The sequence below is a fragment of the Homo sapiens genome, chromosome 2, assembly GCF_000001405.40.
Source record: "Homo sapiens chromosome 2, GRCh38.p14 Primary Assembly".
NCBI lineage: Eukaryota > Metazoa > Chordata > Mammalia > Primates > Hominidae > Homo > Homo sapiens.
Genome location: NC_000002.12, coordinates 154,256,481 through 154,272,316, shown reverse-complemented (window position 1 = coordinate 154,272,316; position 15,836 = coordinate 154,256,481). Strand labels below are relative to the sequence as shown.

The following is a 15,836-nucleotide window of genomic DNA, read 5'->3' as shown; positions in this document are numbered from 1 at the left end:
TAGTATGTTTAAAATATCCTTGTATCTGTTAAAGAATAATATTTTCAAAAGTGTTTTTATCATGGTTCAGAAGTTAATTGTTTATTTTTCTTGTGTGTACCTTTATTTCCATCTAATGGTATCATTCAAGAAGACAGAAAAACTTTCTCAATTAGATTGATTTTCCAACAAAACATTTCCAATGTGTATTTCTGGATAAGCCCTATAAAATATCATTCACTTCTTTATTTATTAATGGAAATGAAAATGTATACTTTATACATTACTATTTTTGTATAATTTTCATTCGATTTCTTTTTCTTTTTATGCATTTAATTCCTGTCCATCTTTCAGGGTTCCATAATTTTATAATTTCCTTTACTATCCTAGTTCCAACTCATTCAGGATGTCTTGCGAGTACCATTCAGCATTTATTTTTATAGAGACATCTAATACTGTAAAATTTTTATCCATACATCATTGTTACAATATAGCTTCTACAGTAACTACCACTAGAGACTTACATTTTGGGCCCTCATAAATATTTAGTTTTTATGCTAACATAGACTCACATACACATAAATTAGATAGATATATATATAGATGAATAAAATAAACAGATAGTATTCATGATTGGTTAGATAGTAGACGAGTATTTTTGTTGGTTTACCAATACAGTATATGCTTACAATTCTCCAGAGAAACACTCATATGATGAGATTTTGTGAGGTCATGAAAGAGAAGAAATGAATGTTATTAATGCAAGAGGGCTAGGTTTATGACACATATTCTAATTCCACAGATGTGGTATTCTGTTCCTCAAATGCCTTTCTTATTCCTGACATAGCTAACTTCTGTCAGTTCTTTAACACTCAGTTCAAACCTCACCTATCTTCTCATAACTCTAGGATTTGTTTTACCATCTTCTAAATCCTCATGAAATTGCCTAACAAAGCTCATATTTAACTTCTCCAAAATTTTTAGTTTGTTTAGTTCCAAGACAGCTGTTACAAGCTAGCATAGATATTTCATTGCAGCCAGTAATGGCCAATTATTCTATGCGTTGCACAGATAACAAATAGCATAACCAAAAATATCTAGACAATTTGTATCTTTATTACATTTTAATCTCTTTACCAAGTTGTATCCAAGCAAATCCATTCTCTAATAACATTATTCACAAGCAACCCTGTGAACCAAACCTGTGAAGAAATGTGATGGGTCTGAGTAGGAGAAAAAGTTTATATCATAGTTTTCATGACCAGCCACTAATGTTAGTATCTACATCCCTGCATCTTGTGTATGTGAGTTCTATTTTTATTAAGAGAAAAGAATGCTAACATAATTCAAATGTGAATTGACCAACATTTAAGCTTGACTGAATTTAGATACGTTTTATTTACAGAAAAACCCCAAATGATACTCTATCTTCAAGATATATTCCTTTATGAGATCAAATCACTGGAAAGCAATAAAATTGATAATTTTCTCTTAGTGCACCCAAGAAACCCACTATCCATTTAAAGGCATTAGTGGATGTTTGCTAAAACATGGTCTAACATATCAACTGCTTTGTGTCTACTGGGCAATGCCTTTCAGAATCTAGTTCCTTTCATCTGAAGAAAAAAAAAGGTTCAGTGCAATTTTATTTACTAATTTATTTTCACTTTAGCTGTCAGGAATATTTGAATAAAGTTATTGATTATTCAATGTGACTAGTTTATCCCATTTTCTTGTTACTTTATTTCTCTTGCCCTTCATTTTCATCTTTCCTCTCGGTTGCTTTGTTTTGAATCATTTCAATTGTGAATTTTCATGTTAGTAATCTCTTAGGATGATTTTAGAAATAATAGAAAAGGTATAAATAAGTGGTTATGCTTTAAAAACGAATTATGGGTGGTACCGACCACCTCAAAATTATTTTCAATTAGTTTAAGAAATAATTAAATGAATATAAAAGAGAACCAGAGATTAATACCAAGTTTTAGTGCATCTAAACAACTTTAAGTGCTTTATGTTTCTAAAACTATAAGCATGTCTCCAAATTGAATGTTTACAAGGTAAAGCATCATATCAAAGGCTAATATAAAGCTCTTCTCATATTCCAGTTTTCTGAACCAAAAATATTAATAGAGGAATGTAGTTATTGAAATTACGATGCCTTAAGCTATTATAATTTTAAGAGCAATACAAGTTTTGTTAATGTTTGCTAATGTTCTTCTAAAGCTTGATTAATGTCTAATTTACCTGTTGTTCACTTATTTTTTTCTAAAGGAGCATACAAAGCCAGTTATTTATAGCAGTTAATATTCAAAATAAAATTCTAACACATTTGTTTTGGATAAACAGAATTCTATTAGGAACCATAATGAAATATTATTCTGTGACACCTACTCACCCTGTGCTTTAGAAATATATATATATATATATACACATATATATAAATATATATATGACAATCTTTAGTAGCACTGTCTCATTGCCTCTTATCTAGAAATATTTTTTATTCTGTGGTTTAAATTTAAAAAGCCCTTCTTTGAATGAAAATATATGTTTAAACAATGGTTCAAAGCAAAGTGGTGGCCGAGATGACAGAAAAACTAGTTGCAGGCACAGAAGCTAAAACTTCAAGCTATTCTTCAATATGTTTAAGGTTCAGCCTGCACCAAATGGGGAACAAGAGAAACATTTGCTGAACCAAATCATTAAGATTGGTCTGCATTCTTTGTGGAGACTACACACACATGATGTCAGTTTATGATTTCATAGGATTTTTTAAAAAGGCTAATAATCTCTATATTATCATTAAGAGAGTGATTTATCATATTTAAAGAAAAGTATCCTGCAAAACCATCTCCATATTTCTATTATAGTTTGGTTTCTATGACTGATCCAAAAAAAAAAACCAGTCAAGTTTTACACACTGACAAATAACCTACTTTCATCAGATTTGTATGAATTAAGTTTACAAAAAGGCAAAGAACTCTAAGAGAAATAAATCAGCTGGATTTTTGTCTAAAATGATTTCTAATAAATTATTACGGCTGATGTTTTCACTTGTCAAAATTTGAATTGTGTAGACATTGCTTAGAAAATTCTTTACTTTCTTTAAGTATTTTTAAAAAGTCTGGATACTATAAGCCCCTAAAGGTTGACAAATTTCATTGTCTCATTTACCATACTATTCTGTTCAATGGGAACCCCTGCTTTTCATTTTTCCACTATTTATTATGTCAGCTCTCATTTCTTTTCCACTTCATTGCTTGTACAAATTGGAAATACATGGATTTCACATGAGAAGACATTTCACTTAGCTATATTCTTCAGGTAAATACACTATTGTTTTCACTGTGATTTGCAAGCAAAAGAAAATTGGGGTACTTGAAGTAAATTCGATCTTGTTAATTAAAATATTAGTTACTGACAAAAGAGCTTATTTTAAGGGTAATTATAATAAAAAGTAATATTGCCATACAGTTTATTTATAAACAGCTTTAATGAGTATTACTTCATTTAATGAATACAGTTGTCCTGGGAGGTAGACTGTTATAATCAGATCAACAGGGATATTTAAAAGTAACTGGACTATGATATATTGAGAATCTAACCTAAAGTATAGAGGTTTACTGTTAAGTAGATACTTTGAACTACATTTTTCCTTCATTTGTTTCTCTTTGGAGTATGCCTCTCTCTCTCTCTCTGTCTCTCTCTCTGTGTGTGTGTGTTTTAATTCTTAACAGCTTTATTAAAGTATAACTAACATATAATGAACTGCATATATTTAAATTGTACCACTCAATAAGAAGTTTTGTCATAGGTGAAACTTGTGAGGCTGTCACCACAATCAAGATAATGAATACATACATTACCACTAAAAGTTTTCATGCTCCCCTTGGTAATCCCTCCCTGCAATCCTCCCTCTGCCACCTCAATCTCATGTCCCCAGACAAGTTATCTGATTTCATAGATTAGTTTGCATTTACTAAAATTTTATACAAATGAAGTCATATAGTATGTAATCTTTTTGCCTGGCTTGTTTCATTCAGCATAATTATTACAAAATTCACCAAAGTTGTAGGGTGCATTAATAGTTTGCACACATTCTTTGTATGGACAAAGCATAGTTTATTCATTGACCTGCTGATGGACATTTGGATTGTTTCTGGCTTTCGGTATTACAAATAAAGCTGCTATGAATATTGGCATACAACTCTTTGTATGAATATACATTTTCCTTTCCACTGAGTAAATACTCAAGAGTGTTTAAAAAGTACTAAAACTGTTTTTTGGAGTTTAGTGTACCATTGTACATCGCCACCAGCATTGCAGGTGCAGTTCTTCCATATTATCACCAACATGGTCAGCCTTCTTAACCTTTCTTTTTCTAATAAATGCATAGTGTAATCTCATTGTGGTTTAAATTTCATTTCCCCACTAACTGCTGAGGATTTACTCAATTGCTTATTTGCCATTTGTAGACCTTTCTTAGTGAAGTGTCTATTCAAGTTATTTTGCTCATTTTTTATTGAGTTGAATGTTTTCTTATTACTGAGTTTTGAGAGTTTTTTTTTCTAGATACAAATCCATTATCAGATATATAATTTGCTAACTTCTTTTTTTCTGTCAGTGCCTTCACTTCTCTTTCTCTTAATAGTGGCTTTGAAAAGCACAAGTTTTTTTGTTTGTTTGTTTGTTTTTGAGACGAAGTCTCACTTTGTTGCTCAGGCTGGAGTGCAGTGGCACTATCTCGGCTCACTGCAAGCTCCGCCTCCCAGGTTGAAGTGATTCTCCTGCCTCAGCCTCCCAAGTAGGTGGGATTACAGGCGCCCACGACCACGCCCAGCTAATTTTTGTATTTTTAGTAGAGATGGGGTTGCACCATGTTGGCCAGGCTACTCTCAAACTCCTGACCTTAAGTGATCTGCCCACCTTGGCCTCCCAAAGTGCTGGGATTACAGGCGTGAGCCACCATGCCCGGCCTGAAAAGCACAAGTTTTTAAATTTTAATGATATCTAATTTACCAATCCATTCTCTTATGACTCATACTTTTGGTGTCATATCTAAGGAATATTTGTCTAATCAATGGTTACACAAGTTCTTCTCCTATGTTTTCTTTTATAATTTTATATTTTTACATTTTGAATTAATATTTTCATGGTATAAGTTATGGATTGGAGTTGTTTTTCCCCCCCACATAGACATTCAGTTGTTCTAATAATATTTTTGAAACTACTATTCTTTCTCTACTAAACAGCCTTTGCATATTTGTTAGAAATCAGTTGTCCACGTATGTGTTAAGTTTATTTCCAGATTTTCAGTTCTGTTCCTTTGTCTGTCTTTATGTTAATAACACACAGTCTTGATTATTATAGCTTTATAATACATTTTAAATCCTACTTTGTTAATTCTCTAACTTTTTTCTTTATTAATGCATTTTTAGCTATTATACATCCCTTGTATATCTATATGGATAGAATCAACTTGTCAATTTCTACCTAACAAAATAAGTTTTATTTACTATTGCTTATCAATATAGATTCAATGCAATAGTTAAGTAAATACAATACACTTAACTATTGCATTGAATCTATATTGATATGCAATAGTAAGTAAATACAATACACTTGCTATTGCAGTGAATCTATATTGATCTGAGGGAGAATTGTCATCTTAATATCATATTGAGTCTACTAACTATTAATAAATAATAGTATTTATCTTCATTCATTTAGGTCTTTAATTTCAGTAATATACAGCAGTTTTTAGCATAGAGGTCTTGCACATCTTTTGTCAGATTTATCACTTTTTCATATTTTTTACATTATTTTAGATAATGTTTAATATCAGTTTTCTGCTGTTTGTTGCTAGTGTATAGAAATAAAGTTGACTTTTATACATTGTTCTTATATTCTACAACCTTGATAAGAAGACTGTCTTATTTGTTTCAGCAATACTTTTGTAGATTCCATTGGATTTTGTAGATAATCTTGTCTTCTGGAATTATAGTCTTAATTTTTCCTCCCTAATATGGATGGCTTAATTTATTCTTCCGACCTTGTTGCTGTGCCTAAAACTTCCAGTATAATGTTAAGTAGATGTAGTAAGATCCAAAATCTTTATTTATTCCTGATCTTAGAAGGAAAGCATTCAATGTTTTAACATTAAATATGTGTAGGTTTTTTTGCTCAAACCCTTTATCAGGTTGATGAGTTTTCTATAAATAGTTTGCTCAGGGCTTTTGTTTGTTTGTTTTTGGTTTTCTTTTTAAATTCAGGAGTAGACTGAGTTTGTTATATACTTTTCTTGACTCTATTCAGATGACCAATCAATTTTTTTTAGTTTCTTGATACGGTGAATTACCTTGATGGATTTTTGAATGCTAAACCAACCTTGCATTTCTGCAATGAACACTACTTAATCAGATATATTATTTATTTGACATACGGAGAAACTTGATTTGCTAATTTTATTTAGAATTTCTGCATCAATGTTTACCAGGAATATTAATTTTTAGTTTTCTATTTTTGTAATGACTTTGTCAAGTTTTGGTATCTGTGTAATGCTGATCTCACAGAATGAATTGGGAGGTACTACCTCCTTTCAATTTTGTGGAAGCATTTGTTTGTTTGTTTGTTTTGAGACAGAGTTTTGCTCTTCTTGCCCAGGCTGGAGTGCAATGGTGCAGTCTTGGCTCACTGCAACCTCTCCCTCTTGGGTTCAAGCGATTCTCCTGTTTCAGCCTCCCAAGTAGCTGGGATTACAGGTGCCCGCCACCACACCCGGTTAATTTTTGTATTTTTAGTAGAGACAGGGTTTCATCATGTTGGCTAGGCTGTTCTCCAACTCCTGACCTCAGGTGATCTGCCCTCCTCGGCCTCACAAAGTGTTGGGATTACAGGCATGAGCCACTGAGCCTGGCCCGAACTCTTCTGATTTCTACCCAAAACATTTGGTAGAGTTCACCAGTTAGGTTATCTGGCCATTGAGTTTCCTTTGTAAAAATTATTTTTAAAGTATTAAAAATTATAAATTTTTAGAATAAATTTCATTTATTTACTAGATACAGGGCTGTTTGGTCTATTTTTTCTTTCTGTGAGCTTTGATAATTTGTATCTTTTAATGAAGTTGTCCATTTTATCTAAGTTGTCAAGTTTATTGGCATAATGAGAATGATAATGTTCCATTCCAATCCTTTTAGCCATCTGTAGAATACATGGTGGTCATGCCACCTTTCTGATTTCCAAAATTGATAATTTGTGTCATCTCTCTATTTTTCCCATATTTGGCTAAAATATCATCTATTTTATTGATCTCAAGGAAACAAATTTTGGTTTCATTGCTTTTCCATATATATATATTTTTTTTTATCATATAGGTATCATATATGTGGAATATTATATATATTCCTTTTATATTTCATTTATTTCTGCTGTTATCTTTATTATTTCCTTTTTCTTAGATACTTTGGCATAAAAACTCTTCTTTTTCTAGTTTCTGAAGGTGGAAGCTAAGGTCATTGATTTTACCTCTTTTTTTTTTTTTTCTTTTCTGATATAGACATTTAGTGCTATAAATAATTCCTAAGTTTGCTTTAGTGTCACTACACATTTTGATGTGCTATGTTTTCATTTTCATTACATTCCAAATAGTGGTAATTTTACTTGTTCTTTAATCTGTGGGTTTTGTTTGTTTGTTTGTTTTTGACAGAGTCTCGCTCTGTTGTCCAGACGGGAGTGCAGTGTCATGATCTCGGCTCACTGCAACCTCTGCCTCCTGGGTTCAAGCGATTCTTCTACCTCAGCCTCTCGAGTTGCTGGGATTACAGGAGTCCACCACCATGCCCAGCTAATTTTTTTTTTTTTTTTTTTTTGTATTTTTAGTAAGGACAGAGTTTCACCATGTTGGCTAGGCTGGTCTTGAACTCCTAACCTCAGGTGATCTGCCTGCTCGATCTCTCAAAGTGCTGGGATTACAGGCATGAGCCACCACATCCAGACTATCCATGGGTTTTTAAGAAGTATGTTATGTAGTTTCTCAATATTTCCTCTACCCCTTACCTCATGAATCAATCTGTCTGGAGGATACAGGTACTATTGACTTTCCTGAGTCATCACTGGGCAATGAGACCTCTAACCTTTTCTGAAGGTTCTTTCCTCAGACTTGGATTGTTTCCTCACACACTTGTGAAGACACAGCTGAATACTCCCACAGAAACCTCTGTATATCTCTTCAATGCTCTGCCCAGGACTCCATTACTCTGTTCACCAAATTCCAGCGGGCTTGGTCTCCCCAAACACTCAGCTTCATCTCCTCAAGTCATGGAGTCTGTCAGTATCTAGCCCTTTTATCACTAAGGCCTAGAAACTTTCACAAGGCAGTAAGCCGAGGCAATTGTAAGGCTTTCCTTGTTTGTTTCCCATCTCTCAGGGTGACTGCTGTTCAATGTCTTGAAAGTGTTATTTCATGTATTTTTGTCCATTTTTTAATTTATTCAGGTGAATGACGAGGAGAATGGTAAATCTAGTACTTGTTACTCCAAGTCTAGATGATACATACTTTTAAAAATTAACAACTGTTTCATTCCAACTGATTTATGAGTGTAGAAAAATGTTTTCCACCCTAGATTCTTAGATGTCAGTAATTAACTCCAATGATGTTGTGGAAGTATAAAAAGTATTTTTTTGTGTGTGGTTTTTCTTTTCCTTTTTAAAATTTAATATATTTTTTGAGCAGGGGAGCCTTAGAACTACATCTCAACTAACACTTAGTATAATTATACTTTAATGTATATTGCATTTCTGGGTTTAAATGACTTTTTCTCTACATTCTCTCTTGTGATTAACCATGATCAAAGCCAAATTATTAAAGGTAAGATTGTTTTTAGGTGATTCTCAGGAATGTTATGACTTGCCCAGAGTTGCACAGCTTATAACAATCACCACAACAGCTGCCATGAATGACACACTATGTGCTGAGTGGAGTACTCAGCACAATATACATAATATCATTTAATCTTTCTCTAAAAATGAGGAAAGTACTGTTATCTTTCTGTTTTAGAGATGGACACACTAAAGCTTAGAATATGTGCTATCTTACCTAAGCTTACACAGATGGTAAGTGCCAGAGCTGGGTGTTGAATGCAGGCTATCTGAATCCCAGTCCATACTTGTAACCATTCATGGCTGTGAGACAGATTTCTGTGTCCTTTGCTGTCATCAAGCTCCTTTATTTATTTTTTCCCATGCTCTGAGTTGATTGGATAGTGGCAGTTTTCTTCATTTTAGAATGGGCAAAATGATCTGTACTCTTGGGAATGCTGCTCCCCATGATATTGCTTATAAAAGACAAGGACTTTTGGTGGTGATGCTTGTTGGTTGATACTTATCCTGAAACACGGTTATTATTTAAAGATAGAGGATACTTTTTGATGGTAATTCATAATTTTCTTGGTTCATTTTATCACTATTTTATTTGGGTATCAATTTCTCAGTTCTTGTCTAAAATTTCAACCCCTATGTATCCTCCAAAATCCAACACTTCATAGAATCTTTCCTTCCTTATATTTTTTCTTTAACACCTATAACTGATATTTTAATAAATTTTATTTATTTTGTTTATTGTCTGTCTCTTTCTCCAAAATCTAAGTTCCATAAGAGCACAAAGTTTTGTCTGTTCTGTTCATTACTGTATCCCCAGCAGATACATAACACTGTCTAAACATAATTAATTAATGCTTATGTTTAGACAGTGCTGTTAGGATTTATGTTATTGCAGTGATTGTTGTGTAATGCAGTAGGGAGAAATATTTGAAACAGCTTTCAGAAGCATTAAGACCTAACTGCTGTTCTCTGGTAGATATACCTGATATTCTCACTGCTATTGAATGTGTATTATCTTCCATTAGAGGCTATAGCCTATAAGAGGAAGATAAGATTATAGACGAGAGAAGCATCTCAGAATTGTGGAGGAAGCTTGTATTTGCATGTTAGCGTCTTTCTTTCTCCTAATAATACCATCAACTGTTAGGTTCGTTATGTTATGGAGAGATGAACCTTAATGAGGAGGTAACAGTATGGTATTTAACAGCACAGTCCCTGGTGTCAGAATGCTGCGGGTCAACTCTTAGCTATTCCACTTACTAGCTACTATAAATACTAATAGTCACTATTATTATATGCCAAGGATCTTTCTCCTAAGGTTTCAAGAGATTTTTAAACACTTTGAAACCGTATTTAAATCTGTTGTCTTTAAAAGGTTGGAAACATCTTCCTTAGGAAGTCTACAGCTTTCATAAAATTTTCAAATGTCTTTAAGTACAGCGATCAAGTGATATGTTACAAATAAGTCTTTGCAATGTATTCCTTTGGTTTGGCTTAAAATACCTTGAGGTGAGTCAGAATCTTAACATTTTGCAAGCCCTAAATATTTCTATCTTCTTTACTTAGACTAGAACCTATGTAGACCACAGCTACAAAACCACAATAACTTCACTATTATTATAATCACCTTTTTACAGTTGAGTTTATGTTCACCTATACTCACATGACAGAGACAAAAAACCTCACACATAAATTTATAAAGGAAATTATCACATTTTCTTGACAATAACACCTACGCATCTCTGTCATAGGAATGCAGTTCTTTGAGAGCAAAGAAGCATCATGCTTTACTCATCTTTGTAAAGTCAGCACCTGGAAACATATCACTTGCTCAATGTATGTTTGTTGTGTAATGATTGAGCTGGATATTAGATTCAAACCCTCTGATTATAAATGCTCAACATATTCTCATTTCATCAAGTCATGAAATTAAAGAGAGATGAGTGGTCTCAATCTTTTGTCAATGCACTATTCTAGCATTTTTCCTTATCAATGTCTACCTCAGCTACAGTACAAACCATTAAGCAAACATATTCATGTCACAGAGAAGAAAGTAAAACATAAATTAAGAGTCTAATAAAAAGCAAAATACATATTTTGTTTCTATTAAAGTCATATGGAAACTAAAGATAATAATACATTTTAAAACACTTGATATTGTTTTAAAATAGTCACTGATAAGTATTTTATTTCCTAATAATCCCAATAACCAATCACAGAAAACCTCCTGTGTCATTTTTGAGGGATTTGATTATTCTTACAGCCCCTAGCTGCATTCCTTCTGTACCCTTGGTATCTGCATCATCTATCATATCCTCAAGTCTTCCTTTTTATACATTTATACCTCTGTTACATTTCCTGATCAGGTCCTCCTTGTTTATCATATTATTCCACTAAATTCTTTCTGAATTCTACTTTCAACCAGTTAGATAAAGAGCATCCCGCCAATCTGGGAGATATGTGATAAAAGTAAGAGGAGTACATTGGCAGAAAATCAAGCTTAACAGGTAGGGAGGAAAGAGGTGAATTCTAATTTTAGGAAGACAAGAGAAAAAGTAGCAAGAGGATCCTATATAGTAGCGGTATTTCTGTGTTGATTTTATTTCTTACGTAACCCAGCATAGCACCCGAAGAATATCAGTTAATGAATGAGTACATTCTCTCATTATTACTTCTAAGAATAGAAGCAAATTATTTCTAAACTTCTGAATATACTGATTTCTTTTCTTTTTCTGTTACCTCTTATTTCTTTCACCATAAGAACCATAACAGGTAATAATTTTGGGTTCTCAAATGTCCTCAAAATTCCTGCAAAGAGTTACTGTCCATGGACCTGAAGGCAAGAAGATATTCCTGAGTGTGGTGCTGAGTTTGGTTTGGCAAGTTTCATGAGAATATAAGCATATAGACAAATGCAAAAATAATAAAATTCCATTAACTAAGGTTTGTCTCAGACATCTGGCTATCAGGAAAGTTTACAGGCAAAATAGTAATATAACTAGGCCATCCTACTGATTTTAAAATAATTTATCCAAGATCCACTGAATTCTACAGTAGAGAAATTCAAGGTAACTCATTCTCAAATTTTAACATTTTCTTACACAACATCACACGTATTTATATTATGATAATGAAAAACAAACTTTACTTTTGAAATGAGAAATTAAAAGGCATAATTTTTAAACTTCATAGATAAATACATCTAAACTCTAATAATTTTATTGTACAAATATTTTGGGCGAAGATGGAATGTTTCATATATTTTACACTGAAGCTGGGTGTGGTGGCTCATGCCTGTAATCGCAACTCTTTGGGAGGCAGAGGGGGGTGGATTGCTTGAGCTCAGGAATTTGAGACCACCCTGGGCAACATGGCAAAACCCTGTCTCTACAAAAAATAGAAAAACAAATAGCTAGGAGTAGTGTTGCACACCTCTAGTCCCAGCCACAAGGGAGGCTGAGGTGGGAGGATCACCCGAGCCCTGGAGGTCTAGGCTGCAGTGAGCCCTGAAATTGCACCACTGTACCACTCCAGCCTGGGTGATGGAAATTCTGTCTCAAAAAACAACAACAACAATAACAAAAAACACTCACAAATAGTTTACACTGAATTTTAGGTAGAAAAAAAAGCAGTGATTTGAAAAACAAAACCACTATGTTAGTGCTTATCAATTTCTTAGCATGAAAGAAAACTTATGTGTTCATTTTTAAATTTTTTGAATATAACAAAATATTATTTAAATTATTATTAAACTTTCCTAATAACATATTCGTAAGGACTTATTCCTCAATTTTTATTTACATGGAAGGCCATTTATTAAATGAAGTTGCTTTATTCAAACTGACTTATCCAACAATAATGTTAGTGAAAATGGTCACACTACTTGCAGAATTATCCAAATTCATTTGACCACAGTTCATTCTTAAAGTTTTCTGAGAACAACCTGAGGCAGTAGTTGCAAATTCAGATTACATAAATACTTCCAAGTTTCAGTTCAAAAACACAAAGTGATTTTATAGAGCAACACGTTATTAAAAAATAAAACCCTTCTTTATTTCAGCAATTGAAAGTCCTAATGTATTTTTACTGTGAATAAAAACAATATTTTTGAAAACAAAAATTACCTATAATTTCCCATTTAGAAGAAAATATTGCATGCAATAGGACTCTGTCAAATCAAAATGTGAATTAAGATAACCAATTGATCAGTAATTTGCATCACTCAGCAAAAATGATTTGACAGTAAATTACTGGGACTGGTATGTGCATGCTACAGCATTGTATGTTCAGCATCAAAAAATAAAATAAAATGCAATTACCCTAAAAGACATTTCAAGATTCTCTCCACCCCAGATATCCATTCCTGCATCGTAAGTTCCTATCTCTTCAAAGTAGTTTCTGTCAATAGAAAATAGGCCACCAGCCATAGTAGGGGTCCTAGTTGAAAAAAAACAAAAAGAAAAGAATATCTTTTGAAAACAATGTATGGAGTTTAATGAGACTGTAGCACGTATTTTTGAGACATTCTAAATATTTAAAAAATCTCAAACTAAAAACACAAAGTCAAGGTGTAAGAAGTTTTAAAATTAAGAAATAGCATTTTTTTCACATTTTCTTTAAAACTCATATTAGTTTTTGTTTTTTTTTTTTACAGGTGATCAAATAGATAGATGAAAGTGACACTGGCCATGGAAGACTGGTACTTCTATATTCCCTCTGAAAATCATAGCGAAGAGAGGTTTCTGCCCTTTGCACTGTCCTTGAAGTGGTTAGCTGGTCATGAAACTATCAGGTGTCAACTTAGGTCACATAATGTAAATCATTTTTATGTAAACTCTAGAAATCTGTGGACATGGTTTCACTATGAAAAGATCCATAGCCTATTTAAAAATAAAAAAAATTAAATTCTATAAAATGTTTATAGAAAATAAGTATCTAGCGATAGTTACAAAGGTATTTTTTTTAACATAAGGGCTTTACATCTAATTGTTTATTCTTCTCTTTACTAATTAAAATGATAGAATTAATCATCTAATTCTATGGAAAAACATATATCCCATAGGATTTATGGGATTTCTGTTATTCAGAGGTTTGAAAGGACACTTCGAAGGGATTCTAAAACTTTTTTCTAGGAATAAATGCCTTTTGGTTTCACGTTCAAAATTCCTCCATGGGAGCTGAGAAGTCAGATGTGAAGTTTTTAAAAGATTAATTAGTTGATAATTTAAAAGACAAATTAAAGACAATGGTTAATGAGTGAGCTACACAAGTCTTTCCATATAAAAGCAGTGCAAATTAAAGGTTAAAAAGAAGATTGTAGTTGTTCACAAATAGATCCATAATGGCAATGATGACTTTTGAATGTTAGTTGTAATATAGTGGTTTGTAACCTTCAAAGCACAAAAGCAGTATCTGAGCCACCTTTAAAAAAAAAGATGGGCATGTTTAATTTCCACCCTCCACAGATTTAGATTTAATTGGCTTGGGGTGGGGCCCGACTTTGGTATTATATAAAGTTTCTATGTACTTCTAATGTACTGCCAAGGGTGAGAAACTGCTATAGAAACTTAGATTTGGAATGCTCATCTAAGTAGTCTGTGAGGCTGTTAAAAACCAAATGTTTTGCTTTTGTCAAAATTACATTCTCCTCTGACAAAGGTTATGCTCATGTTTTAATTAAACAGAATTGTTCATTGAAAAACCACCAAATAATATTGTACTTGGACATCTACCATATTGCAAAGTTCTCTATTTCTCCCAGTGCTCTCACTGTTTTATGCTCAGGTAATTAACTGTCCATCAGTTGGAGTAGCAGAGCCTTGCTTAGTCTCAGAGCTATTTTATTACTTTTCGCCTTGCTGGGTTCCTATCATGAACAGTATCATTGACCTTCTGAGTTATAATGAGAAACACTAACAAAGCTAAACAGATGGTAATTAGGAAGTAGCCATGACCCTCACCTGATGTGGGTTTTGGAACACTATGGCAATAACTATATAACATATTACAGTGCTGGAGAGTCTATTTGATTGATAAAATTAGGAACCAAAATTGCTGCAATTATCCTATCATAATGTAACCAAATGCTTAATATTGTTAAGTGATGCATTTTTAATAATCAGTTCAGAGTGCCCATCTACTTATCTACTTACTGATAAAGTACTGGCACATTTTAATTTAAATAACATGTATTGAATTTCGGCTTACAGTTGGTCATCATTCTTCTATGTGAGAAATGTATAAGTGGCTATTTATACTATTAAGAAAGACTCAAATAACTTTTACTTATGCTTGAAAATAATAAAAATAATAAAATAAAATTACAATTCTTCAAGAAACTCCTGTATTTTCTGAAGACAGATACTCCTGGATAGTTTTTTTTGTGTTTGCAATATCAGTTAGCTCTCTCAGATTGGAGACTCTGCCTTATAATGTTTAATACCTATAGCCATAGCCAATGTTATGCAACACGTTCTGTTCTAAGTTAACTGCCCTGTAATATGCCTAATAAAATATTTACATATGCCCATGTGCACCTTAAGTGTTCAGAGCATCTAGAAAATGAAAAATCTTGATTATGGTTAAATTAACTGAAATTATTTGCTTTTCAAGGTTGTGTCTAAACAATGTCAAACCAAGCAACCAAACAGTCAATTGAACGAGAGGGGAATAGTCAGCTCAATGACTGTGAACACTACCTACCACACATAGTAAGTAGGAAAGATGAACTGAGTTAACAGAAGTAAAGCACTTAACACAGTTCTCAATACATAACCAACAGTTAATAAGGGTAGGTAATTTATCTTTGTTGTTGTTGTTATTGATGTTAATCATTTAAGTAAAATCCTTGCTATCCTTCATTTAATTTGGGCTCCTCTCTCTCTATATACCCTCACTTTAGGTTTCAAAACCATTTAGAACTACCTCATATCCAAGATGCTGACTGAAATTTGCCTCAGAGCATAACTTCTTACTCT

The 15,836-nt window shown here is 32.8% G+C and overlaps 1 protein-coding gene across 20 annotated transcripts in view; it reads right to left on the bottom strand.

The window, feature by feature from the left end:
* The window catches only part of GALNT13 (polypeptide N-acetylgalactosaminyltransferase 13), a 1,388,282-nt gene that overhangs the window by 184,258 nt on the left and 1,188,188 nt on the right, over positions 1-15,836 (bottom strand). For 18 of the 20 annotated variants that reach the window (NM_001422882.1, NM_001422883.1, NM_001422881.1 and 15 more), the window contains one exon: positions 13,179-13,296. The exons of the other annotated variants lie outside the window; for them this stretch is intronic. In NM_001422882.1, coding sequence (NP_001409811.1) covers positions 13,179-13,296 — 118 coding nt within the window. The remainder of the gene's footprint in view (positions 1-13,178; positions 13,297-15,836) is intronic. 20 annotated transcript variants of the gene reach the window in all.